The 26,150-nt window shown below is 46.6% G+C and overlaps 1 protein-coding gene and 1 long non-coding RNA gene across 11 annotated transcripts in view, besides 7 other annotated features; both read left to right on the forward strand.

The window, feature by feature from the left end:
* Positions 11,903-12,012: a silencer, noted in NCBI's record as "silent region_6096". NCBI's record gives its function as "represses an Ori minimal core promoter by ATAC-STARR-seq in GM12878 lymphoblastoid cells {active_cell/tissue: GM12878}" and the evidence as "EXISTENCE:reporter gene assay evidence [ECO:0000049][PMID:35858748]".
* The window catches only part of PPP2R5C (protein phosphatase 2 regulatory subunit B'gamma), a 167,420-nt gene continuing 153,190 nt past the window's right edge, over positions 11,921-26,150 (forward strand). For 3 of the 10 annotated variants that reach the window (XM_005267819.2, XM_005267824.2, NM_001352914.2), the window contains exons 1-2: positions 11,921-12,074; positions 14,253-14,318. In XM_005267819.2, coding sequence (XP_005267876.1) covers positions 12,033-12,074; positions 14,253-14,318 — 108 coding nt within the window. In that variant the 5' untranslated portion in view covers positions 11,921-12,032. Of the gene's footprint in view, positions 12,075-13,056; positions 13,269-13,717; positions 13,745-14,252; positions 14,319-26,150 lie in introns of those variants that run through there. The other 7 variants (NM_001352913.2, NM_001161726.2, NM_001161725.2 and 4 more) reach the window with 4 other exon arrangements.
* Positions 12,083-12,232: a silencer, noted in NCBI's record as "silent region_6097". NCBI's record gives its function as "represses an Ori minimal core promoter by ATAC-STARR-seq in GM12878 lymphoblastoid cells {active_cell/tissue: GM12878}" and the evidence as "EXISTENCE:reporter gene assay evidence [ECO:0000049][PMID:35858748]".
* Positions 12,293-12,342: a silencer, noted in NCBI's record as "silent region_6098". NCBI's record gives its function as "represses an Ori minimal core promoter by ATAC-STARR-seq in GM12878 lymphoblastoid cells {active_cell/tissue: GM12878}" and the evidence as "EXISTENCE:reporter gene assay evidence [ECO:0000049][PMID:35858748]".
* Positions 12,803-12,962: a silencer, noted in NCBI's record as "silent region_6099". NCBI's record gives its function as "represses an Ori minimal core promoter by ATAC-STARR-seq in GM12878 lymphoblastoid cells {active_cell/tissue: GM12878}" and the evidence as "EXISTENCE:reporter gene assay evidence [ECO:0000049][PMID:35858748]".
* Positions 12,973-13,212: a silencer, noted in NCBI's record as "silent region_6100". NCBI's record gives its function as "represses an Ori minimal core promoter by ATAC-STARR-seq in GM12878 lymphoblastoid cells {active_cell/tissue: GM12878}" and the evidence as "EXISTENCE:reporter gene assay evidence [ECO:0000049][PMID:35858748]".
* Positions 13,353-13,572: a silencer, noted in NCBI's record as "silent region_6101". NCBI's record gives its function as "represses an Ori minimal core promoter by ATAC-STARR-seq in GM12878 lymphoblastoid cells {active_cell/tissue: GM12878}" and the evidence as "EXISTENCE:reporter gene assay evidence [ECO:0000049][PMID:35858748]".
* Positions 13,623-13,692: a silencer, noted in NCBI's record as "silent region_6102". NCBI's record gives its function as "represses an Ori minimal core promoter by ATAC-STARR-seq in GM12878 lymphoblastoid cells {active_cell/tissue: GM12878}" and the evidence as "EXISTENCE:reporter gene assay evidence [ECO:0000049][PMID:35858748]".
* On the forward strand, positions 15,427-18,397 carry LOC107984658 (uncharacterized). Its single transcript, XR_001750901.1, has 2 exons — positions 15,427-15,634; positions 16,502-18,397. It is a non-coding gene; the product is annotated as an uncharacterized LOC107984658 (long non-coding RNA).

Raw genomic sequence — 26,150 nt, forward strand, 5'->3', positions numbered from 1 at the left:
CCTTGATGAATCTGACAATTATATGTCTTGGGGTTGCTCTTCTCGAGGAGTATCTTTGTGGTGTTCTCTGTATTTCCTGAATTTGAATGTTGGCCTGCCTTGCTAGGTTGGGGAAGTTCTCCTGGATAATATCCTGAAGAGTGTTTTCCAACTTGGTTCCATTCTCCCTGTCACTTTCAGGTACACCAATCAAATGTAGATTTGGTCTTTTCACATAGTCCCAAATTTCTTGGAGGCTCTGTTCATTTCTTTTTACTCTTTTTCTCTAAACTTCTCCTCTCGCTTTATTTCATTAATTTGATCTTCAATCAGTGATACCCTTTCTTCCACTTGATCTAATCGGCTATTGAAGCTTAGGTATGTGTCACGTAGTTCTCATGCCATGGTTTTCAGCTCCATCAGGTTATTTAAGGTCTTCTCTACACTGCTTATTCTAGTTAGCCATTCATCTAATATTTTTCCAAGGTTTTTAGCTTCCTTGCAATGGGTTCAAACATCCTGTTTTAGCTCGGAGAAGTTTGTTATTACAGACTTTCTGAAGCCTACTTCTGTCGGCTCGTCAAAGTCATTCTCTGTCCAGCTTTGTTCCATTGCTGGTGAGGAGCTGTGATCCTTTGAAGGAGAAGAGGTGCTCTGGTTTCAGAATTTTTAGCTTTTCTGCTCTGGTTTCTCCCCATCTTTGTGGTTTTATCTACCTTTGGTCTTTGATGCTGGTGACCTACAGATGGGGTTTTGGTGTGGATGTCCTTTTTGTTGATGTTGATGCTATGCCTTTCTGTTTGTTAGTTTTCCTTCTAAGAGTCAGGTCCCTCAGGTGCAGGTCTGTTGGAGTTTGCTGGAGGTCCACTCCAGACTCTGTTTGCCTGGGTTTCACCAGCATAGGCTGCAGAACAGCAAATATTGCAGAACAGCAAATATTGCTGCCTGATCCTTCCTCTGGAAGCTTCATCCCAGAGGGGCAACCTCCTGTATGAGGTGTCAGTCGGCCCCTACTGGGAGGTGTCTCCCAGTTAGGCTACATGGGTGTCAGGGACCCACTTGAGGAGGCAGTCTGTCTGTTCTCAGAGCTCAAACACCGTGCTGGGAGAACCACTGCTCTCTTGAGAGCTGTCAGACAGGGACGTTTAAGTCTGCAGAAGTTTCTGCTGCCTTTTGTTCAGCTATGCCCTGCCCCCCCCCAGAGGTGGGGTCTACAGAGGCAGCAGGCCTTGCAGAGCTGTGGTGGGCTCCTCCCAGTTTGAGCTTCACTACTCAAGGGAAGCTTTGTTTACCTACTTTGTTTACCTACTCAAGCCTCAGCAATGGCAGACACCCCTCCCACTACCAGGCTGCTGCCTCGCAGGTCAATGTCAGACTGCTGTGCTAGCAGTGAGCAAGGCTCCTTGGGCTTGGGACCCGCCAAGCCAGGCATGGGATATAACCTCCTGGTGTGCCGTTTGCTAAGAACATTGGAAAAGTGCAGTATTTGGGTGGGAGTGTCCCGATTTTCCAGGTACAGTCTGTCATGGCTTCCCTTGGCTAGGAAAGGGAAATCCCCTGACCCCTTGTGTTTCCCCAGTGAGGTGATGCCCCACCCTGCTTCAGCTCGCCCTCCATGGGCTGCACCCACTGTCCAACCAGTCCCAATGAGATGAACCAGGTACCTCAGTTGGAAATGCAGAAATCACCATCTTCTGCATTGATCACACTAGGAGCTGCAGACCAGAGCTGTCCCTATTCAGCCATCTTGGAACAGAATCTCTCATTTTCACTAATTGAAAAGTAAATGTCTATGTGGCAAGTGGCTAGCATAATAGACAGCATAGGCCAAACCATTACCCACTTGTTTCTGTTTTCATAGCATATCACTGTCTGAAATGATCTTTCTCAACTGTTTACAAATTTACAGTTTGTCTTCCCCCATTAGAATGTAGGTTTTGGGACTGGACCCATCTGTTGTTAGTCATAAGCTAATTTACTGTGAGTTAGAACTCATTTACAAGCCTGTAGCACATGCTGTTACATACCTGAAATTGTAGGAAATTTTCATCTTCAAGTCTGGATTTGATATCTACAAGAGCCAAGAGTAATGTGTGTCAAGTTGCATAAGGTAGAGACTAATGTCTGGGTTTACTTCTGTTTAAGACAGCAGCACCGAACACAGGGCTCATGCCTGTAATCCTAGCACTTTGGGAGGCTGAGGCAGGTGGATTGCTTGAGCCCAGGAGTTCGAGACCAGCCTGGCCAACATGGCAGAACCCCATCTCTACTAAAAATACAAAAATTAGCCAGGCGTAATGGTGCACGCCTGTAATTCCAGCTGTAATTCCAGCTACTCAGGAGGCTGAGGCAAGAGAATCACTTGAACCCGGGAGGCAGAGGCTATAGTGAGCTCAGATCATGCCACTGCAATCCAGCCTGGGCGACAGAGCGAGACTCTGTCTAGAAAAAGAAAGCAAACTGGCAATGAAGTGAAGTAATAGCAACAAACTAGGGCAATAAAGTCATCAAAACTTATTATTCCAAAAAGATACTCTAAAAATCTGAGAAAAGCACATAGTTATAAAAGGTACATCACCTTCCAAAGTAAAGAACTATTCCTCAAAAAGGAAATTTGTTTGGCCATAAAATTTATAACATTCATTCTAAGAAGGCAGCCTCATTGAATCAGTAATCAAAAGCCTCACAACAATGAAAAACTCAGGCTTAGATGGCATCATTGGTGAATTCTACCAAACATTTAAGGAATTTACACAAACCCTCCTCAAACTCTTCCACAAAATTGAAGAGGAGGGAACACTTCGTAGCTCATTCTATGAAGCTAGCATGATACTAAATTCAGACAAAGACATTATAAAGAAAGAAAACTACAGACCAATATCTCTGATGAATATCAGTGCAACAAGCCTCAATAAAATACTAGCAAACAGAATTCAACGGCACATTAAAAGGATTATACCCCATGACCAAATGGGATTTATTCTTGGAATGCAAGAATGGTTCAACATACAAAAATCAATCACTGTAACACACTACATTAACAGAATGAAGGAAAACAACCCCATGATTATCTCAATTGGTGCATAAAAGGCATTTGCTAAAATTCAACATATTTTCATTATAAAAAAAAACACCCAATAAACTAGGATTAGAAGAAAACCACCCCAATATAATGAGGGTTGTACATAAACAGCCAACAACTAACATCATACTTAATGGTGAAAGACTGAAAGTTTTTCCTCTAGGATTAGAAATGAGGTAAAGATGCTTATTTTGCCACTGTTATTCAACATAGCACTGGAAGTCCTACACAGAACAATTAAACAAGAAAAAGAAATCAAGGCATCCAAATTGGAAAGGAAGAAGTAAAATTGTTTCCACTTGCAGATGATAAGATTACACACACACACACACACACACACACACACACAGACACACACACAAACACATAAAACAAATCCTGTTAGAACTAATCAATGAGTTCAGCAAAGTTGCAGGATACCAAATCAACCCACAAAATCAGTTGTGTTTCTTACACTAAAAATGAAGAATCCAAAAGGGAAATTAAGAAAACAATTCCATTTACAACAGCATAAAAAGAATAAAATTATCAGGAATAAACTTAACCAAGGAGGCAAAAGACTTGTACACTGGAAACTACAAAATGTTGCTGAAAAAAATTAAAGACAACTAAATGGAAATACATCCTGTGTTCATGAGTTTGGAAGGCTTAATAGTTAAGGTGTTCATGCTACCCAATGTGACCTATATATTTAATGCAATTCATACCAAAATTCTAATGGCAGTTTTTGCAGAGGAAAACTCCACCTTAAAATTCATATGGAATCTAAAGGGATGCTGAATAGCCACAACAGTCTTGGAAAAGAAGACCAAAGTTGGAGGACTCACACTTCCTGATTTCAAAACATACTACAGACATCAAAACAGTGTGGTACTGGGATAAAGACAGATATATAGACCAATGTAATAGAATAGAGAGCACAGAAACAAAATGTCAAATGATTTTTGAAAAAGGTGCCAAGACCAATCAATGGGGAAAGGACAGTCTCTTCAACAAATGGTGCTGTGAAAATTGGATATGCAATGCAAAAGAATGAAGTTGGACCCTTACCCTATACCATACACAAAAATCAACTCAAAATGAACCAAAGACCTAAATATGGGAGCTAAAACTGTAAAACTCTTAGAAGAAAACATAGGGGAAAAGCCTCATGACATTGGATTTGGCAATGATTTCTTGGATTTGACACCAAAAGCACAGGTAACAAAAGTAAAAATAGATAAATTGGACTACATCAAAATTTAAAATTCCTGTAAATCAAAGGATATAATTAACAGACTGAAAGGCAACCTACAGAATAGGAGAGAAAATATTTGTAGATCATATATCTGATAAGGAATTAATATCCAGAATATATAAAGAATTACTACAATACAACAACAACAGCAGGAAGAAAAAACAAATAACCCAATTTAAAAATAGGCAAAGGACTTGAATAGACATTCCTCCAAAGAGGATATACAAGTGGCCAAAAAGCATATGAAAAGATGCTCAACATCACTAATCATTATGGAAATACAAATCAAAACCATAATGAGATATCATCTCACACCTATTAGGATGGCTACTACTGAAAAAACAAAACATAACAAGTGTTGGTGAGGATGTGGAGAAAGGGGAACCTTGTATATGGTTGGTAGCAATATAAAATGGTGCAGGCTCTATAGAAAATAATATGGAGGCTCCTCAAAAAATTAAAAATAGAATTACCATATGATTGAAGAATTCCACTTCTGGGTATGATACGGTTTGGCTCTGTGTCTCTACCCAAATCTCATGTAAAACTGTAATCCCCACATGTTGGAGGAGGGACCTGGTGGGAGGTGATTGACTCATGGGGTTGTATTTCCCCCTTGTTGTTCTTGTGATAGTGAGTTCTCACGAGATCTGGTTGTTTAAAAGTGTGTAGCACCTCCCCCTTCTCTCTCTCTCTCCTGCCACCATGTGAAGACGTGCTTGCTTCCCCTTCACCCTTCTGCCATGATTGTAAGTTTTGTGAGGTGCCCCCACCCCCCATAGCCATGCCTTCTGTACAGCCTGCAGAACTGTGAGTCAATTAAATCTATTTTCTTTATAAATTACCCAGTCTCAGGCAGTTCTTTATAGTAGTGTGAGAATAAACTAATCCAGGGTTATATACCCAAAAGAATTGAAAGCAGGGTCTCAAAGACATATTTGCACACCCATGTTAATAGTATGGAATTAGACCACTACTTCTCCTGCTGACCTTCTCATCTTTTCCACACCCCCCATCCCCGTTTCCCTAGTTTATAAGACAGGAGAAAAAGGAGAAAGCAAAAAGTTGGAAAGAAACAGAAGTAAGATAAATAGCTAGATGACCTTGGCGCTACCACCTGGCCCTGGTGGTTAAAATAATAATAATAATATTAACCCCTGACCAAAACTACTTGTGTTAGCTGTAAATTCCAGACATTGTATGAGAAAGTACTGTAAAACTTTTGGTTCTGTTAGCTGATGCATGTAGCCCCCAGTCACATTGCCCACGCTTGCTTGACCTATCACGACCCTTTCACATGTACCCCTTAGAGTTGTAAGCCCTTAAAAAGGCCAGGAATTTCTTTTTCCAGGAGCTCGGCTCTTAAGATGTAAGTCTGCCAATGCTCCCAGCCAAATAAACCTCTTCCTTCTTTAATCTGGTGTCTGAGGAGTTTTGCCTGTGGCTTGCCCTGCTACAATAGCAGCATTGTTCACAATAGCCAAGAGGTGGAAGCATCCAAAGTGTCCACCTACAGATGAATGAATAAACAATACAATACATGAATATTCATACAATGGAATATCAGCCTTAAAAAGGAAGGAAATTCTGACACATGCTACAACATGGATGAACCTTGAGGATATTATGCTAAGTGAAATAAGCCAATCGCAAAAGGACAAATACTGCATAATTCCACATTTGAGGCACCTGGAGTAGTCAGTCATTGAGACAGAAAGTAGAATGGTGGTTGCCAGGGGCTGGAGAGGGGCAATGAGGAGCGGTTCGGTTGGAACAGATATGAGTTTGGGAAGATGAAAGTTCTGTAGGTGGATGGTGATGATGTTTGCACAACAATGTGAATGTATTTAACATCTTAGAACTGTACACTTAAAAAGGTTAAGATAGTAAATTTTATGCTGTATGTATTTTGTCATAATTTTACAAAATTAAAGGCAGTCTCATTAGTTCTCTGTTATAACTTGGATGCCAGTTCATGCAGAAAGGCAATCTCTTCAGGTCTCGCAGGATGGAGTAGTGACCTGGAAGAGAATCCTGCTCACTGGAGCAGGGCGCTGCTCTCTTTTGAAGATGCAGTGGAGGTTGTCTCTTTCTCCACACAAAGGGCAGGAAAGACGACAATGGCAGGGTGTGGGGGGAGAGGCAGTGAAGTGCATTCAGCAAACTGTGGAGTTCCATCCAGATCAAGAAATTCTCCTTACATGAAGTCTGTGGTACAGTTCTGGCTTTCATGCCCACTGTCTTCTGTGATGCTCTTGGTAACCAGCAGAGAGGGCAGGGCAGGTTGTGTCATATCTGCTTTTCGTGAGTTTAGACAGGGGTTCTCCACCTCAGCACTATTATCTTTTGGGCCAGAGGATTCTGTTGTGTGTGGCTGTCCTGTGCATTGTTGGATGTATAGTGGCATCCCTGGCTTCTACCCACTAGATGCCAGTAGCCCTCCCTACCCACCCAGTTGTGACAACCAAAAATGTCTCCAGACATCACCAATGACCCCTGGGGGGCAGAATCACCCGTTTCAGAACCATTAGGTTAAAAGTTTTGAGACTCACACAGAGTCTGCACAAACCCAAGTCTTCTAATTCCAGATCTCCCATTCCACCATGACACCAAGTTATTCTCCACCTAAGGCCCCCTTGACAGCCACTCCTCACCCTTCTCCTCCCTAGAGCAGGACATCAAGGGATGCCTCGCTGGGCTCGCTGGGCTTCCTGGCCCTCTGGCTCAAGTGGGTCAGCAAAATGGGAGCCACTGGTGAGAGAGAGGAGGGGAGAAGCAAGAGGGTGGGGTGTGTCTTCACCTGTCCTGGCCCCCCTCCCTGCACACCGATGGGGACTATGACAATGAGTTGGCTACACCAGGCTCTGGCATGACCTCTGCCTCCCCCTGCCCAGTGAGGCCTGGGAACAAGGACAGCTCCCACAGCCACAGCCCCTGCCTGCTTCCCACTGCCTCGTCCCTGGTGTGACCCTTGCATGCCTCTGTGCATGGACCTTTCATTCATTTATTTCCAATTAAACACTTCTGACTGGCTCATCTGTTCCAGCCTGTTAAAACCAATCACCCCAAACTTAGGACAAGAACTAAAAGTCAGCACTTGAACACGCTGCAGCTGATTATCCACACCCTCCCTTCCAGCAAGCTCTCTGCTGCTCTATTGAATACGTCTCCCCTCTCTGAAAGCCCCTAATCCTGCTCGCTAATGCTCTTACGGTGTGCTTCTCCCACCACCTTGGGTTAAGTTATTTCTGTCCCATCTTATCTCCTCCACTGGACTTAGGGATTTGGGAGGAAAAAAGAAAGGGATTGTATTTCACTCCATTTATATGAAAATGAATTATTTTGTGTTGTTTTCCATTTTTCTTCAATACTTGGATACAAAATTTTATTAAGATATTTTTAGAATTATTTTGAACTTTCACAGTTTTTAGAATAATCTATGAAATTTTCAGTTTTGGAAACTTTCACAGATTTCTTTCTACCTTTTGGATCTCATTGGGAAAGTACTCCAGGCACTCGTGGCATTACTCTCAGCTGTTGGGGACTAACTGGCTCACGGCATTTTTCAGAGCTCTACAGGGGCCAAACAAGATGCCCGGCTTAGTCTAATAAGCTCTCTGGGTGCCCTTGGGCCTGAAAATACTAACTTTTGGGTATTTTCTTGGACTCCTCAGAACCGAATGGCACCTCACTTCAAATCATGGTCCACTTGTTAAACTTACTGAGTGCTTGATACGTGCCTAGAGTGTGATCCGCACTCTTAATATATGGATAATTAATTCAAATGTAATCTGACTTAACATACTCTCTACTCCAACTCTGCAGGCAAATTTGTAGTGGAAGGAGTCTGGTGCATGAATAAATAGATACAAATTCAGTACAAAATGCGTGTTTCATGACATTTTCATGGAAAGGAAGTGAGGAAAGTTGGGAGGAGTAGATGTGATGAACATCTAGTTTTCGGGGAGGCCTCAGGGATGCCTGAAAGGAAGTCACTACCCAATCCAGGTAGCCCTGGGCCAGGAGAGGTGAGGAGGAGGGGCTGAGCACCTGGGGGAGCTAGTGACACAGACAGAGGAGGGCCCATAAGCACACCACAAAGCTGGAGAAAGACAGCAGTTAAAGAAAGGCGGCATAAAGTCAGAAACAAGTCTGAGATGCAACAGTGTCTCGCTCTGTTACCCAGGCTGGAGTTCAGCGGCATGATCACGGCTCACTGCAGCCTCCATCTGCAGTGATGGCTCAAGCAATCCTCCTGCCTCAGCTTCCTGAGTGGCTGGGACCACAGACGCGTGCCACCACGCCCAGGCTGCTCTTGAACTTCTGGGCTCAAGCAATCCTCCCGCCTTGGCCTCCCAAAGTGCTGGGATTATAGGCGTGAGCCACCACACCCAGCTAGAATTAGTTTCTTCAAATGCTAGGCACTGAGTAACACAGAATGCCTAAGACATGATCACTGCCCCTAGGAAGCTCAGCTGAATATCCAAGTATGCAAGACTGCCTGGATGCCCAGAAGGCCTAGGAATGACATGAAGAAACCTAAGCCCACAAGCCGGGGTCTGTGAGAGCCAAGAGAGAAGGCTTTCTGGGCAGGGTGACCAAAGCTGCAGCCTGGCAGGCAGGGCAGCTCTACACCAGCCTCAGAGGAGCAGGCAGGGCCTACTGTGCTGCAGGCATCTTCACAGAGAAGACGCAGGAAGGGCTTCTGAGGGCAGACGCAGGGAAGGGTGCGGGGCTGATTCTCAGTCAAGGGCCATCTTCTCTCTGCCCTGCTCATATGTGCCACTGATGGTATCCAGAGTGAAGCAGTGAACAGTGTAGGGCTGCGGCTGGTGGCTGCAGTGAGGTCAAAGACCTCAGTCCTCTGGGAACCTCTCTGATCCTCCAGAGACCTCAGGGGCACAAATAAAGCAATCCAACATACAGAGAAGACAGACATGGAAAAAGTATGTTTGGGTTTTTAGAGACTGTATTAGTCCATTCTTGCATCACTATATACAAATACCTGAGATTGGGTAATTTATAAAGAAAAGAGGTTTAATTGGCTCATGGTTCTGCAGGCTGTACAGGAAGCCTGGTGTTAGCATCTGCTCAGCTTCTGGTGAAGCCTCAGGGAGTTTTCGTTCATGGTGGAAGGCGAAGGGGGAGCAGGCACTTCACATGGTGAAAGCAGGCTCAAGGTGGGGGGAGGTGCCACATACTTTTAAATAACTAAATTTCATGTGAACTCCAAGCGAGAGCTCACTTATCACCAAGGGGATGGCCCAAGCCATTCATGAGGCATCTTCCTCCGTGATTCAAACACTTCCCAGCAGGCCCACCTCCCATCGGTGATTACATTTCAACATGGATTTGGGTGGGGATAAATATCCTAACTATATCAGGGACCATCTCAAAAAAGTGTCCCAGAGGAGCAGGGGTTGGAAGAAAAGGAGTTTTGTGTGATGCGAGCAGTGCCTTCATGAACATGGAATGTGGGGCCATCCTGGAAGAGGTAACCCTCAGCCACACACACACACACACACCCACATAATGGCTTTATATCCTATCTCAATAGCTTGTCCTGAATCCCTTCTTTTGGGAGCAGGAGCTATATCTATCTTTAGCGTTCCTGTAAATACCACAGCACCTAAGACACTGCATGAAACCCAGTGTGTTCTACGGGTAGTCGGTAACTAACTGTCCTTAAAGATGGTCCTCCCTAATGTGGGCAAATGAAGCCAGTCCAATGGCCAGTGACGTACACATGCAGTTGTACAGGTAATGGTGTTGAGTCAGATTTCTCTGGTTGCTATGGTTTCAAGGTCACTGGATGTTAATCAGGCAGCTTTGCTTGTACCCTGTCCCTATGCTTTCCCTAAAACTCTAAACTGACCTGAGAAACCTCTAACCTGACATGCAACTAGTCCTCTATGCTATATTTCCAGTTGCCATCTTGGACACCTCTACCTACATTTTGCGGACACAGCAACGTGTCCCAAACTGGAATCTTGTTCCCTTGCAAACCTGCCCTCCACTTGCATCCCTTCCTCATCATTCACTGTGTTGCCCAAACTACAAGCATGAGCATTCGCTTTTTATCCTCGATTCTGGCTCTCTGTCGCGTCGGCGATCCTTCCCCCCGTTGCTGTGGAGATGCCTCCCTGGCACGCACCTGAACCATAGCTGGATGCTGATTGCTCTTTCTGCCTCCTGCTTTTACTTCCACCCTCACCTCCTCCACACTCCTGCCACCGATGTCTTCTAAAATGCAAATGTGAGTACATCACTCCCCACTTCAGTATCTGTCAGTGACCCTGAAATGCATTCAAAAAGAAGTACAATATCTTGGCAAGGTCTACCAGTCTTAATTCAGCGTCGCTGTTCCTTCAGTCTCATCTCCGGCCATAACAAAACGTCCTGTGCAGTGCTCTGTCATGCTTCCAAGCCTGACCCCCCTCACCCCAGTCCTGTAGACTTGTCACATGTCATGTCCTTCTGATTGCTGGTTTTTTCTATTTCCATGCAAGCATGTGAACTGCTTGAGGACAAGGGTAGTGCCTTGTTCACCATGAAATTTCTGGCATCATGCTTTGCACATAGTAGTTATCCAACAAATGTGGGTCGAATGAATGAATTGTATGCAACACCGGATCAGGAGATATGATACAAGGATTTGGGTGGCAAAGGATTGTCTCAGAGATGCCTCTAAGCCTCCCTAAGAGTTCATGGCCATAAACCAATAGTTTCAGAGCTACTCCTTTTTGATATGGATATATCCTGGACTTATTAAATTGACAGCACATATTTTATTTTTAAAATGTTATTAAGTTAACTAGGGGCATCGCTCTATCCTCAAAATTGTTTTGGAGACACCATTAACCCACTTAAATTATTAATAAAAAAGCCACTTATTCCGCACAAATAGTTGAGACTGTCCTGCTTACCTACAGATATTCGTCTAAGAGCCGGCAGACATTCAGATACCCGCAGACAGAACTTACTTTCTGGACCTCCCACAACATTCCTCCCTTTAGATCTTTTTTTTCTTACCCCGTCTTTCAGCTTTCTCATTGCAGAACTGCTGAGAATAATGGAAAATGCTTTGCCTGGAAACTTCCAAGAACAAAACTCCGGGGGCTAAGAGAACGCGATGATTTTTAAGCTGCCAGTTAAGATGCAGCTCCTTCATCATCACAGGTGAAGCACCAATGCCTCTCGCACGTGAAATCCGTACGCTCCTAGAGTCTTACTACCTAATGCATTTCTGCAATCTGGGACGCCTGTCCTTAGCGTCTTCAATAGTTTTGGGCACGAGGTGGACCGCGGAAGTATTGTATTGAAAAGTTAACGTTTTTCCCTTGGACACCCTCTCCTCACAGCTATTAACAAGCTGAGAGAAATCAGGTGACTCCCAGTCATGCAGAGGTTTCCTCACCATTTATGATCAAGCCAAATTAAAGAATAAAAATAAAATCCTATTGGCGCAGCGGCCACCAAGTCTTTGAGGCCTCGCCTCGGTGGGCGGGGCCGACGCCGGAGGAGAGGGGCTGCGCATGTGGGCGTGACCTCGCGGAAGGAGCTGCGGAGGGCGGGGCCGACTGGAGAGGGGCGGGGCTGTCGGGTGGGTGGGACCTCGCGGCAAAAGCTGCGGAGGGCGGGACCAACCAGGAAAGGACGGGACTGTCGGGTAGGCGGGACCTTGCGGGAGAAACTGCGGAGGGCGGGACCAACCAGGGAGGGGCGGGCTGTCGGATGGGCGGGACCTCGCGGGAGGAGCTGCGGAAAGCTGAGCTGGTGAGGGGAGGGGCTGGTCGAGGGGAGGGGCTGGTCGAGGGGAGGGGCTGGCCGAGGGAAGGGGCCGGCCGAGGGGAGGGGCCGGTCGAGGGGAGGGGCCGGTCAAGGGGAGGGCCCGGCCAAGGGGAGGGGCCGGTCGAGGGGAGGGGCCGGTCGAGGAGAGGGGTTGGTCGAGGGGAAGGGCTGGCCGAGGGGAGGGGCTGGCCGAGGGAAGAGGAGGGGAGGGGACGGGCTGGTCGAGGGGAGGGGAGGGGAGGGCAGGGGACGGGCTGGTCGAGAGAAGGGGAGGGCAGGGGACGGGGTGGTCGAGGGGAGGGGACGGAGGGGAGGGGAGTGGAGGGAGAGGAGGGAAGGGGAGGGGAGGGAAGGGAGGGGAGGCGGGGCCCAGCGGTGTCCCGCGAAACTGCCGCTCGCTCGGTTCCCGGGCCTCCCCGTGCGCCTCAGTGCAAAGCGTGCCAGGCACTCTTGACTGCAACGAGAGCCGCGGCGGTGAGGGGGCAAGGCCAAGAGGCCACGGTTCGCGTTTCGCCGGCTGCAGAAGTTGTTGCCATACATTTCAAATGTGCATTTCCTACGTCTCACGCTCTGTCTTGCGCCTCCACAGCGGGCCACGGCCCTGTCACCGCAGTCGCAGCCACATGCTCCCTCCCCTGAGTCGGCTCAGCTCTGCTCAGCGGTCAGCCCCGCGCCAGGAGGCCGCGGCCTGCCTGAGGCCGGCTCGCAGCGACTCGGGACGGAGGGCGGGGGCGTGAACGGGTCGCGCGGAGAGGGTGGGGGGAGCGGGGAGCGTTAGGGTACGTGGGGGCGCGTCGACCAATGGCAGGGCGCTGTTGAGTGCAGCGGGGCGGGGCCGGGCGCGGGGGTGGGGCGAGCGGCGGGCGGGGCGGGGCGGCCGGCCGGGGGGTGGGAGGAGAGGGGCGGGGCGGGCCGGCCGGGGGAGGGGCGGAGAGACGCCGCCGCTGCCGCCGCCGCCGCCGCCGCCGCCGCCGTGGCTGCCGCAGCCTCTGGGAGTCTGGAAAAGGGGAAGCGAGAGCAAGCGAAAGACTCAGTCCCCGGGCGGCGGCGGCGGCGGCGGCCGCGGGGGCGCGACGGCCGGGGCGGGGGCGCTGCTGCTGCGGGGGCAGGCGGCGGCAGGGGCGGCGGCGGCGGCGGCGGCCCGCTCCAGCCATGCCGAATAAAAACAAGAAGGAGAAAGTGAGTCCGGGCCCGGCCGCGGGACGGAGGGAGCAGGGAGGGACTGCCGGGGGAGGGCGCGACGGCACCGGGGTCCTGCGCCCGGGCCCCGGCTCAGTTCCCCGCCTGACGCCGCGGGCTTCGCGTCCCCGAGGGCGGCCGAGCCAGGCATCCCCGGGCTTCTCTCGGCCTCATGCCCGGTGGGGGCGGGGAGCCCGGGGATCGCGCCGGAGCCGCGGGGCGCAGGCCCGGGCCGCTGGGACCTTCGTGATGGGCCGGGGCTGGGCGTGGAGGGAGGGCGCGGCCCGGGGAGGGGGTCGGAGGGGCGCCCGTTTCCGACAGCGCGCCGTGGGCTTGGGCGGGCAGGTGCGGCCGCCGAGGGGGTTCGCAGCCTCGCAGGCTCCCGGAAAGGAGCTTCAGGGATGGGGGCTGTAGACGCCTGGGGAGGGACCCCTGTACGGGGGAAAGGGAGCGAGAAGGGACCCCGCTGAGAGCTGGTAAGGAATTCTCTGCCGCCCCGGAGGGACGCTCTGGGGCTCTCGAACACTATTATTATCCTGGGTGGCGGCGGCGGTGAGGGCTGCGAGCAAGGGTGCTGCGTTTGCATTCGGGGGGGCGGGTATGTTTCTGCTTCAGGTGGAGCTCTGTAGCGTTTCATTATCACCCCAGAAATCCTCACTCATAGGGTTTAGGGTGGGAGGGTAGAAAGGGATGTGATGTGGATCTCAAAATGCCAGAAGCACTGTATAAAATTGGATTTATCTGTTTTCTGCTTGAAGTTTTCAACCTCAAATGCAGATAAAACGAAAAGAATCTGAATGGGGGTTGGGGGGCATTGCACTGTTGGAATCCTAAACGGTATGATATAGAATTTCCTAATGGTATGAATTAAAAATATCAGAAGCTGTAGTTGTATAAATCACTTTTAAAACTGCATTTGGCTTATCTGATGTTTACCTGTCTAAAAAGTGAGAAGACTAATTGACTTTGCTTGATGTTTACCAGGAATCACCAAAAGCAGGGAAGAGTGGAAAAAGTTCAAAAGAAGGACAAGACACAGTAGAATCAGAGGTAACTGTCATCAAATATTGACTTTGTATTTTATACACAGCTTTTAACTTCAGGTAGAAAAACCGAGAGTGATAAAGCCTAGAATCTTCTAAAATGTTTCCCTATGTGAGGTTTTTTTTTTGTGGTGTCTTTTATAACCCTCAATTTTAGTTGTTTAGGTATTTACTGTTTTGCTTTGGAAAACTATTAATGATTTTATGAAAATTGTGCTTGCCTATGGGGTTTGTTTGTGGGTCTTTTGGGGTTTTTTTTGTTTTTTATTTTTTTGAGACGGGGTCTCACTTTGTCACGCAGGCTGGAGTGCAGTGGCGCAATCTCTGCTCACTGCTACCCCTTGCCGCCCAGGCTCAAGTGATCCTCTTACCTCAGCCTCCCAAGTAGCTGGGACCACAGGAACATGCCACCACACCCAACAAATTTTTTTTTTTTTTTAATAGAGTCTCACTCTGTCACCCAGGCTGGAGTGCAGTGGCGCGATCTTGGCTCACTGCAACCTCTGCCTCCCGAGTTCAAGCAATTCTCCTGCCTCAGCCTCCTGAGTAGCTGGGATTACAGGCACCCGCTACCACGCCCGGCTAATTTTTGTATTTTTATTAGAGACGGGGTTTCACCAGGTTGGTCAGGCCGGTCTTGAACTCCTGTCCTCGTGACCCGCCCACCTTGGCCTCCTAAGGTGCTGGGATTACAGGCCTGAGCCACCGTGCCCATCCTGGATCTGGTATTTTTAAGTTCATTTCCCACACCTCAAACCCAGCAACCCTCCTGTATAGATTGGTCTTATGCAGTCTATGGTGTTGCTATGTTGCTTTTAGCTTTAGGGTCATCTCCCCACCGCCACTTCCATTGCAAGCTGCCAGGCAACTCAGTGGTTAGTTCTTTTTCTTCCATCACCTTGTTTTCCTTCAAACCACCTCTGCTACTGACGTCCTGGGCTAGCTCCCTATTTCTGTTGACGGTCCCTTGGCCTCTTTCTCCAATAATGTTGGTATTTGAAAAAATTTACCTAGTTTTGGTATTTTATTATTGTTCACATTGTGTGTGTGTGTGTGTGTGTGTGTGGGCGCGCGCACTTGCGCGTCGGCCACTTGTAAATTTCTTTGCTTCTTGGCTTTGGCCTCATTGAGGAACAGCTGGAATGCCAAGTGAGCATTGCATCTACTTGACCAAGGTTGATGCTGTTCCTTCACACCGTGAAGTGCCTTCAGAGGATTTGCAGAGTCACCACTTTCCTTTGCCTTTTCTTCCTTGTGACTAATTGTTGAACTAGAGCACCTAGGGCCAAGGGTCCAGGAGCTGCGTGGACCCAGGCAGAGCCAGTAGGTCCTTTTGAATCCATGGGTAGCACATAATTGGGTTAATAGAGTGTCAGTTATCCAGAACTGGATCATTGAAGCCCCAGTCTTATCACAAATGACGTTTATTTGCCAGTGTCAGACTTCTTCCTGTAAGCCAAATTAGAATGAGTTCAGTTCTGTCTGGGAAACACAGTTAACTGGCGATGATCTGCAGTGGACTTTTTTTTAGCCCTGCATTCTCTCTTTTCTATCATTTGGTGTATTCTGAACCTCCCTCCTCTTCAGCAGGTGGTTTATTCCAGCAAATCTGTTGCCCTCCCCAAAGCAAAAAGCAGAAATCCAAAAGATTCCTTAAATGTCAATAGTTAGGATCATTTGTGCCAGTCTGTCCCTCCCTGTCTTTATAGCAGACAACTGAGGTTTACTGTGCCATGCTGGGATTTGACTTGTTTCTTTCTTCCCTGTCACCCTTTTGACTAAATTCATTTCGATGAAGATGAAATGTAGGTGCTTTATGAAGGTATATGCTATATGCCTTTTTTTTTTTTTTTTTTGGTCTTTTGATCTTTCATTAAAACTGCTAAGATTTCTTCTCCCCAGAGCTTTCTTGCTAATGTGCCTATATCCTCTTACTTTAGCTATATTCCTTATACAAAGGAGCATCAGTGTGTATATATCATTTATTTCTATTTTTAGTGGGAAGATCCTGGCTGTAAGGATGAATAATGTTAAGTTTAAACCTGAAAAATCTCAGTAGTTCAAAGATACCAAAATCACTACTATGTGAAATGTGTGTTTTGAAAGCAGTTTGCCAGCCGTGTGAGACCTGCGGTGTGGCCTGCAGTGCCTGAGTATGATGCCCCACTTGTCTTTTTGTATTTTTTCTAGTGCTACTGTCTAAGAGCTGGAGCTACAGAGCTTGAAATTACCACTGAAAACACTGAAATGTTGGGCCCTTCACTGCTTCCTCATAAGGATACCAGAGGCAACCTGGCATATTAAGCTTGACACTTGGCAGATCACTGTGTAAATTGTTTTTCAGGAATACAAGTTGGGACACTTCTGTTCATTTGACCTTTGAGTTGACCCTTAAATTTTATTATTGTTTTTTTTCCCCTCAGTCTTCAGCTCACTGCTTCACTTCTAGTTCCACCCACTTACCAAATATGATTGACTCATGCAGGTGAATTAAACCATTATTGCACACTTTTTCCCTCTCCTCTCTCTCAGTATTACTCTTAACTTGAATATTTTAACCTGAACAATTTAAATAGGCTTGACATTCCCATGCTGCTTTCAAGCCTTTTTTTTTTTTTTTTTGAGACAGAGTTTCACTCTTGTTCCCTGGCTGGAGTGCAATGGCACAGTCTCGGCTCACTGCAACCTCCACCTCCCGGGTTCAAGTGATCCTCTTGCCTCAGCCTCCCAAGTAGCTGGGATTACAGGCTCCTGCCACCATGCCCAGCTAATTTTTTTTTTTTTTTTTTTTTTTTGTATTTTTAGTAGAGACGGAGTTTTACCTTGTTGGCCAGGCTAGTCTCGAACTCGTGACCTCAGGTGATCCGTCTGCCTCAGCATCCCAAAGTGCTGGGATTACAGGCGTTAGCCACCATGCAGCCCCTTTCAAGCCTTTTAACATCATGTCACCTTCACAATGAGCAGTTGCTCCCATTACCCAGTGAACTCACCTTCTGATGGGACAGTTACCCTAGTTGGGGCTTCTCAGCCTTGAGAGATGTGCAGAGCAGGGACCTGTCCAGGGCAGAGCAGCCAGACAGCGTGGAAATAATCCAAACAGAGAAAGCATTCAAGAACTTGGCCTCTGGTTGACTTAACACACTACTTCAAGTATATGGCAGGTCTGTATAATAAACTCCTGCCTGTCTAGTCTTCAGCCTCATAGAAAGCAAGAAAGCAGGTGGCGTATGTTGCAGAACAATTCTTGGGTAGAACAAGGGGACATTTGATGGTTTGGGTTTTTCAGTAAGAAAGATGAAGTCCTGGAGTATAGGGTAGAGTGGTACAGTGGAAAATATTTCAGCTTGGGGGTTAGAAAATAAACATGCCGATTCTTGCTTTGCCATAAATGATGTCACCTAACTTGTGTGACCCTGTTTTCTCATCCCTAAAATGATTTGATAAGTTTAAGATTAGGCTATTTTTAAATGTATGGAAGAAATTGGGTGTTACCCTTCTTGAAAGACATTTTCCCTGCAAGTATGGCAGGCTGTATCTTTCAGTGTAACAAAGTTCTATTAAAGGTCATAACTGCTGCCCTGTAACTTTTGCCTTATTCTAGAAACTTCTACTCCTTGAATGACATGTGTTGGTACATGTTTCTTCTCTTTCAGATAGAATGGTTAATTTTGACTTGTTGCTTCTGCACACGTGTCCTGGAAATAAAAGTTTCTTCCCACTACTTATTGCTGATTTATTTCATAGGAAGTCTTAAGGAAAGAGGCAAAAAACGGGCTCATGGGTCACTTGAAGTTGGAAAATTCTGTGGAGATTGACAAAGGAGACTCACTTTTGAGCATCTGTTCTCAGTGTAACCTTCAAATCTGTGGAAACATAACTAGGCACATTTTATGATTATTTAGAATGTTAATAAATTGCTCTGAGTTTCCTCAAGTCCATTTTGTAAGATCAGACCATAGGTGGGTGTTGTTTCTTTTAAGTGTGTGTACTGTGTCCAATGTTACATTTTTAGAAGTGTTCATGCTTTTTGTAAAGTGATTCGTTTTAAGCACATTAAAGGTCGTTTGAGTATTGTCATGTATTTTACACCTGCTTCAGCTTAGTTTTGTTTGAAAGTCTCTACAGCAACTCTTACATAATATCTGTTGCTGAAGAGAAAGAACAATCCTCTCTCCAACTCGTTAGCTAGCTTTGCCACCTTCTACCTTTAGTAAATTTTTTCCTGTTATAATCTGTCCCTTTACATTCCAGTGCCACCACTCCCTGATGGTCTAGACCTAGGGAGACTGACAGTCGCCTCAGGTCGCATAGGTGCTAGGCGGAAGGGTAATTTTTTTAGAAATTAAAATTGAAATTTTAAAAATATTTAATAATACACCCATTAAATGTTAACAACATTGTTATGAAAAATATCTTTGCAAGAAATACTCCTTTTCACAGTCTCTGTAGCAAGAGTTTTTACCTGAGTAAGGAGGAGGACAAGGACAGTCATTTTGTTCGGCACAACTCCTCCAAGGAGAGCCCCTGACACCCCTGTAGGCTCACTTCTGAGCTTGGGGCTTTCGCTAGAACCTCCCTATGCCTTAGCTTCCATCAGTCTCTTCCCACCTTTTTTTCCATACAACCCTAAGCTGAACTTGAGTGAAAGAGAAGACCAAGAGAAGTAATACTTTAAAAATCTTTTTGAAATTCATATGTAATGATTATGGAGTAAATGGAATCATTTGCTTTTAATTGCCACGTCTTGGCTCCCTCTTCCCAGCGCCTCCCCATGGTCTTTCCTTAGAGCCCAGGGGCATCAGAAAGAGGTTCTGCGGGGAGGATCCATCCCTGGCAGCCGCAGCCTCAGCTCCCGAGCTTTGGGGTTGTTAGGAGGCAGATGTCCTGAGCTTGCTGCCCTTGAGGCTTGAGGGAGTGGTGGGTTCTTCCTTAGGCAGCTCCCTTCTCTAGCCCCCATTCCTGTCCTACATCACAAGCTGCAAGGTCGGTAGACCCCAGGTACCTCCTTTGTGACCTCCACTGCTCTAGACCAAGGGTTCCCATCTGAACACTTGACTGTGGGGCAAGATATTTTGTTGTGGGGCTGCCCAGTGGTCCTCTACTTTGTAGGACATTCACCAGCATCCCTGGCCTTACCCCTGGATGCCAGTGGCCCACTGCCCCCACCAACTGTGACAACCAAAATGCATCCAGACATTGTCTGGACATTGTCTAATGTCTCCTGGAGGATCAAATCGCCCCCTGTTGAGCCACTGCACTATAAAGACACCTTTCCAAAATATGTACATTTGCTTACAAACCATGCCTGGCACATATTCATCTGAGCATTATATTTCCTTTAGAACAGCAGTGAGTGCTCACACAGAAGGGAGATCACTCCTTTATACTCTTCACAATTATCAAGCACCCCAAAGAGCTTTTATTTAGTGAGTTATATCTATCTACCGATATTTTTCCTTAGAAATTAAAGCTGAACGTTTTTAAATAGTTCATCTAATAATAACAGTAACACCCATTACATGTTGACATAAAAAACATTTATGTGGAAAGAATTTTTTTTTTTAATTTGCTGAGAAAAGTGGCATGGCTCTGTTTTTGCTAATCTGTTTAACGTCCGGCTCCATCGAAGGTAGCTGTCTGCCCCTGCACGCAAGCTGTTCTGATTTCGTATGTGTAGCCTGTGAAAAACTCCCCATAATGACGCTTTAAAGGGCAAATCACATCTTCATGTTATCATAAAAACCGTTTTGACCTTGTGGACCCCTGAAAGGGTCAAGGGACACACCCCAGACCACACTTTGAGAACCCCTCTTTTAGAATGCTCTACCCCCATTCTCTGCTGGCCATCTGAATCCTTTCATCTTTTTTTTTTTTTTTTTGAGACGGAGTCTTGCTCTGTCACCCAGGCTGGAGTGCAGTGGCGCAATCTCCGCTCACTGCCAGCTCCGCCTCCCGGATTCACACCATTCTCCTGCCTCAGCCTCCCGAGTAGCTGGGACTACAGGCGCCCGCCACCACGCCCGGCTCATTTTTTGTATTTTTAGTAGAGACAGGGTTTCACTGTGTTAGCCAGGATGGTCTCGGTCTCCTGACCTCATGATCCACCTGCCTCGGCCTCCCAAAGTGCTGGGATTACAGGCGTGAGCCACTGTGCCCAGCCCCTTTCATCTTTTTAGCTCCAACTCAAGCTCATCTATCCAGAAACTTCAGCGAAGCTGTTTCTCACCATCTTGGACTGTGTGTCTTCCATATTTTAAATGCTTATAGCAATTACTTACTAGACCAGCGGCTGGCTGTATGCAGTTCTGTGTCATGTACACTGTGTTAGATGACCTTCGTTCCCCTGTGACTTGCCTTCCTAGCTAGATGCAGTCCTTGAAGGCATCAGTTGAGCTCGAGTCTTCTTTGATCTTGCCATATATATTAGGGCCTAGAGTCAAGAAGTATTGAGTTGGTGGGTTTTAAAAGTACTGAAAAGGAGACCTTGAAGTCAGTTAGGTTGCTGATTTTTCTGATACTGTAAATTAGCAACAACAATAAAAAACTTGTTTATTAAGAGGCTTATTTATCACTTTTTTGATCCAATAAGGGAACTCTAATGTAGAATTTTTATTCAGTGTAATTCATTTTAAATAAATAACAGTATACTAAAGCAGAAGATTATGGTACTTAGGTTTTTTTCTAATGTCTTGGGAAAATTTTAAAAAGTAGAGTATTTTGGTTTTTTTCTTAGTTTTCTTTTACATATTCAGTGGAAAAAAGTGTAGTCTCATAAGATCTTGGTTAAAAGGTCAGTGGTAAAAAGTATAGCCTCATAAGATCTTATTTTAATTAAAGCACTTCAAAATAAGATTTCCATTTAAATACAGTTATGCATCACTTAATGAGGGGGTACGTTCTGAGAGCTGTGTTGTTAGGCAATGTTGTTGTTTTGTAAACATGATGGCATGTGCTTAACACAAACCTAGGTGGTAGTCTGCTACACACCTAGGGCATATGGAATAGCCTGTCACTCCAGGCTACACACCTGTACAGCATGTCATTTAACTGAACCCTGTAGGCACCTGTAACACAATGGCAAGAATTTGTATATCTAAACATAGAAAAGATACCATAAAAATATGGTGTTACAATCTAAGGCACCACCATCATTTGTGCAGTCTGTTGTTATCTGAAATGTCATTATGTGGCAGTGACTGTAAAGGTTTCTCTGTGATCTTTTATGCTTTGTGTTTCTTAATTTATTTTGGGAATGTTTCTCAGTAGAGCATAGCTACATATATATTTAATATGTTTTATAAGATAGGGTTTGTTTTGAGCATGTCTTGTTCTGTGCGAGCACTGTGTTGAGGATTGAGGAGATAAAGACCTGTTAGGAACTGAAGTAGTGGCTGTTTCCATCATTTTTGAAGTGTAGCACCTGTTGCTTCTGGACATCCAGTGTACTTGGGAGTAACTTGGCCCCCACTCAGTTAGATCTTATTGTCCTTGAGTGGATGGGACAAGATGGAACCCATTTCATGTAAAGAGCCACCTGGAGCTTTGGGTGAGAAAATCAGATGCTTTAAAGCGTCTAGGGAGACACGGGCTTACCATAAAATTATGGAGTTCCAGAAAGCACATTGGACCCTAGGGTGTGTATCATGGTTAAAGCCAATAGATAAGATCAGCATTCCTCTCCCTCTTCAGTAAAAGCTTCGCTACGGTATATGCAATTCTAGAAAGAGCTCATCAAGCAAATGATATGAAATCTAAAATTTTCCAGTTCAAGAAAGAAGCTCAAAGTTCCTACATTAAAGCAACAGCAGGGTGAATGGCAACTTATAGCCCTGCCATGTGATGGTGGAAAGGTTTCCACCTGCATCCTTAGCGGAGCTGAGTGAGTCAGTCTGCCACCAACATGAAATGCGGTGATGTTTTCCTAAATCACAGGGAAGATTCATCTGGAATATTTCAATTCGAAGATGGGTCTCCAGTGTTTCCTTAAACACTGGGTACCTGCCAAAGGGCAGGGCACAGCGGTGTCTGGTTTAGCACAGTGTCCTCTCTAATCACCTCACACGTTCCTATCAGTATGTTGTTTTAAGCAGAGACTCTCCAGTGCTCCTGCAGTGAAGGAAGTGCTGCTTCCCAAATCCAAACAGCGTTGTCATCTTCATGTTCTCCACCTGGGGGAGTGAGAGAACAAGCCTAGAAATTAAGCTCTCCAGAAGGGGAAAAAAATGCTTTATTAAGGGCATTTGGCTTTTTCTTCATCTCGTGTGTGTGTGTGTGTGTGTGTGTGTGTGTGTGTGTGTGTGTATTTTTTTGAGACAGAGTCTCACCCTGTCGCCCAGGCTGGAGTGCAGTGGTGCGATCTTGGCTCACCACAACCTCCGCCTCCTGGGTTCAAGCTATTCTCCTGCCTCAGCCTCCCAAGTAGCTGGGATTACAGGTGTGTGCCACCACACTATCTTGTATATATTTCCTTAATATAAGATTGAGCAGCTGGGCACGGTGGCTCATGCCTGTAATCCCAGCACTTTGGGAGGCCCAGGCGGGTGGATCATGAGGTCAGGAGTCAAGACCAGCCTGGCCAAGATGGTGAAACCCTATCTCTACTAAAACTACAAAAATTAGCTGGGCTTGGTGGCAGGCATCTGTAATCCCAGCTACTCGGGAGGCTGAGGCATAAGAATTGCTTGAAAACCTGGGCGGCAGAGGTTGCAGTGAGCTGAGATCACACCACTGCACTCCAGCCTGGGTGACAGAGTGAGACTCCATCTCAACAACAACACAAAAATGGCCCCCAAGAGATTAATTTCAGATACCCTGCAGCCTGCAGGTGTTAGCTCTGACCAAGGGCTGGCATGGCCCGGTGGTAATATCAAATTACTAAGGGGCTCTGAAGGGGTTAGACCTGCCCTGGCCAAGATGTTTGTTGTTTGCTGCATATGGCTATTTTAAATTTAAATTTAAATTAATGAAAATTAAAATTATGTAAATAATTCAGTCCCTCAGTTGCACGGGCCACATTTCAAGTGCTCAGTAGCCACATGTGGCCAGCAGCTACTCTGTTGACCAGCAGATGTGGAACATTTGCAGCTTCACAGAAAGTTCTGCTGGACAGAGCTACTTCAGACCCTACCAGTATTTTCCAAAATAATTCTTATGGGAGTGTATTTAATTTAATTGAACTTATTTTGTTACCTATCAATCTTCTTAATATGAAATATCAAATTTAAGGTTAAATTTAAAGGAAGAGAAGACTTATATTGGCAAAAGAGAAGGAAGTAGATAAAATTAAGGAAAGAGGAGGGCAAGAAGAAGAGGGAATGCATGGTGAGACGAGAGGGAGGCCCTGTCTACTGCTTGGTCTGTGGTTGGCCTACACCTGATACCCACACGAGAAAGACTCCATTGCCCATAGGAGCGGGACTTGGACAGACCCAAGAGCAGTCACGACCTTTTGTCCTCCTAGTCTTTCTTTATAGACATTTTCTCTTATTTATTTATTTATTTTGGGTTCAAAACACAAAATTTATTTTGGGTTAAAAAATAAAGTAATGCGGCTGGGTGCAGTGGCTCACGCCTGTAATCCTGGCACTTTGGGAGGCCGAGTCGGGTGGATCACCTAAGATCAGGAGTTCGAGACCAGCCTGGCCAAAATGGTGAAACCGCATCTCTATTAAAAATTTTTTTTAAAAGCCGAGTGTGGTGGCATGCACCTGCAGTCCCAGCTATTCAGGAGGCTGAGGCAGGAGAATCCCTGAAACCCAGGAGGCAGAGGTTGCAGTGAGCCAAGATTGCGCCACTGCACTCCAGCCTGGGTGACAGAATGCAACTCCGCCTCAAAAAATAAATAAGTAAAAAATAAAGTAATACGGAAATCAAGGTTCTCCCTTCACCTTCCTCCCATTCTCAGACCTGCTTCACAGAGCACAGCCACTTTGTCCTGCTGATTATGAATGGGGCCACTGTCCAGAACACGGAAGCTGTGCAATGTGGCAGAGGCTGGGCTCTGGAGTCAGGTCCCCCTTCTGTCCCCTGGAGGGATCATACCCTCTCTCGGTATCATGTTCCTGTTTATCTTGGCCGATTTCTCTGACATTGCGGCTTCCCTCCAGGGGATTCCTTCATTCTCAGTCATCCAGCAGGTTCATTCTGAGACCTGGCATGTGCTGAGCACCATTGCGGGTGCAGAGTTCCTGCACTCGTGGAGTTTGCCTCCAGTGAGGGCACAGAAGTGGAGTGTGGAGCTGCAGGTGTTTTCTGCGGGGCACTAGTGACATTGGGCGTGAGAGCGTCTCACCTTTGCAGAGCAATGGCCCTGGGGATCTCAATACCATGATGACAACCAAAACCACTCACATAGCTCCACACACCACTGGTGGACAGGACCCTCTGGCAGCCCCTCTGCTGGAGATTGGGAGGCTGCTTCAGGTGGTCAAGGATGGTCTCACCAAGCAGATGACATGAAAAGTGAAATGTGAATGTCAAGAAGGAGGCCACAGTGCAAAGATCTAGGGCAAGATATTCATTCAGCCAGAGGCAGCAGCTAGTGCAAAGGCCCCATGGAGGAAGTGAGTTTGCCGTGTCCACTGCCAGGTGTTCAGTTGACTAAGGAAAAGTGAGGGTAGGCAGAGCAGGAGGGATGGAGGTAGGGAGCCGAGCACAGACAAGGTAGGGTAAGATCTTATAAACAGCCTGCCTAGACAGGGTTTTGGGATTTTGGCAGGGAGGGGGAGTTGTTTTGGGGTTTTGTTTTTAGAGACAGGGTCTCACTCTGTTGCCCAGGCTGGAGTGCAGTGGTGCAGTCCTAGCTCACTGCAGCCTTGAACTACTGGGCTCAAGCAATCCTCCCTCCTCAGCCTCCCAAGTGGCTGAGATACAGGTGCACACCACCATGCTCAGCTGATATTTGGATTTTTTTGTAGAGAAGGGGTCTCACTGTGTCAGCCAGGCTAGTCTGAAACTCCTGGCCTCAAGCGATCCTCCTACCTCGGCCTTCCGAAGTGCTGGGATTACAGACATGAACCACTGAGTCTGGTTGGGCTTTGAGTTTTTATTCTGAGGGTCATGGGAAGCCACTGGGGTGTTTTGAGTAGGGAAGTAAGAGGATCTTCCTAGCTGCTATGTGGGAACGAGGGGCAAGAGCTGAACAAGGAGACCAACTGGAAGACTTTGCTTCTCAGATGAAGGGTTTCTTTGTTCACACAGGCAAAGATGAGGCACTGGCACAGCTGGCTGTGGGTGGGCTTGTCATCTGACCACTTGCTTTAGAGGCCTTGGCTGGGAGCTGGCTCTTGTGACTTTTGGCCCCTAGAGACTAAACTGCAGAGAATTTGCTTTGAGGTGCCAGCTCCTACATTAGCAGCCTTAGTTTTTCCTAGACAGACTGGTTTCTTTGGAGAATCCCTTTTTCTTGTCATAACCACTCAGTTTACCAATGTTCTGCAGAGAAGGTGTGTGGGGATAAGGTGGCTATGGAGAGATCAGTATTCAGACCTAACATCAATCTCCTTTTCAGCTGCATATCTCACTCCTATTCTCTGCTATACCCAGTCTCTGAGTGCGTGGCCTCGGGGGGATTCTGTAGGGACAGAGCACCTGCTTTCTCCCTCCAGCCCCACGCTGCTTTGTGGTTGCCAGATGGAAGTTGCATCTGTTGAATATTGCTATGCTGAGATGCACCAGTGACTGCCTCCGCAAATCTTTTTATTACTGGAGGTCGTAACTTGCCTCTTCCTTCACTCTCACTTGTAAGGCAGGCTCAGGAGGTTTGCTGATTGTGAGTGCATCATCGACCTTGATCAGGGAAATCTGTCCTGTTTTCCTTTATTTCTTCCTCTCATCCAGA

This window comes from Homo sapiens, chromosome 14 (assembly GCF_000001405.40).
Source record: "Homo sapiens chromosome 14, GRCh38.p14 Primary Assembly".
NCBI classification, from domain to species: Eukaryota; Metazoa; Chordata; class Mammalia; order Primates; family Hominidae; genus Homo; species Homo sapiens.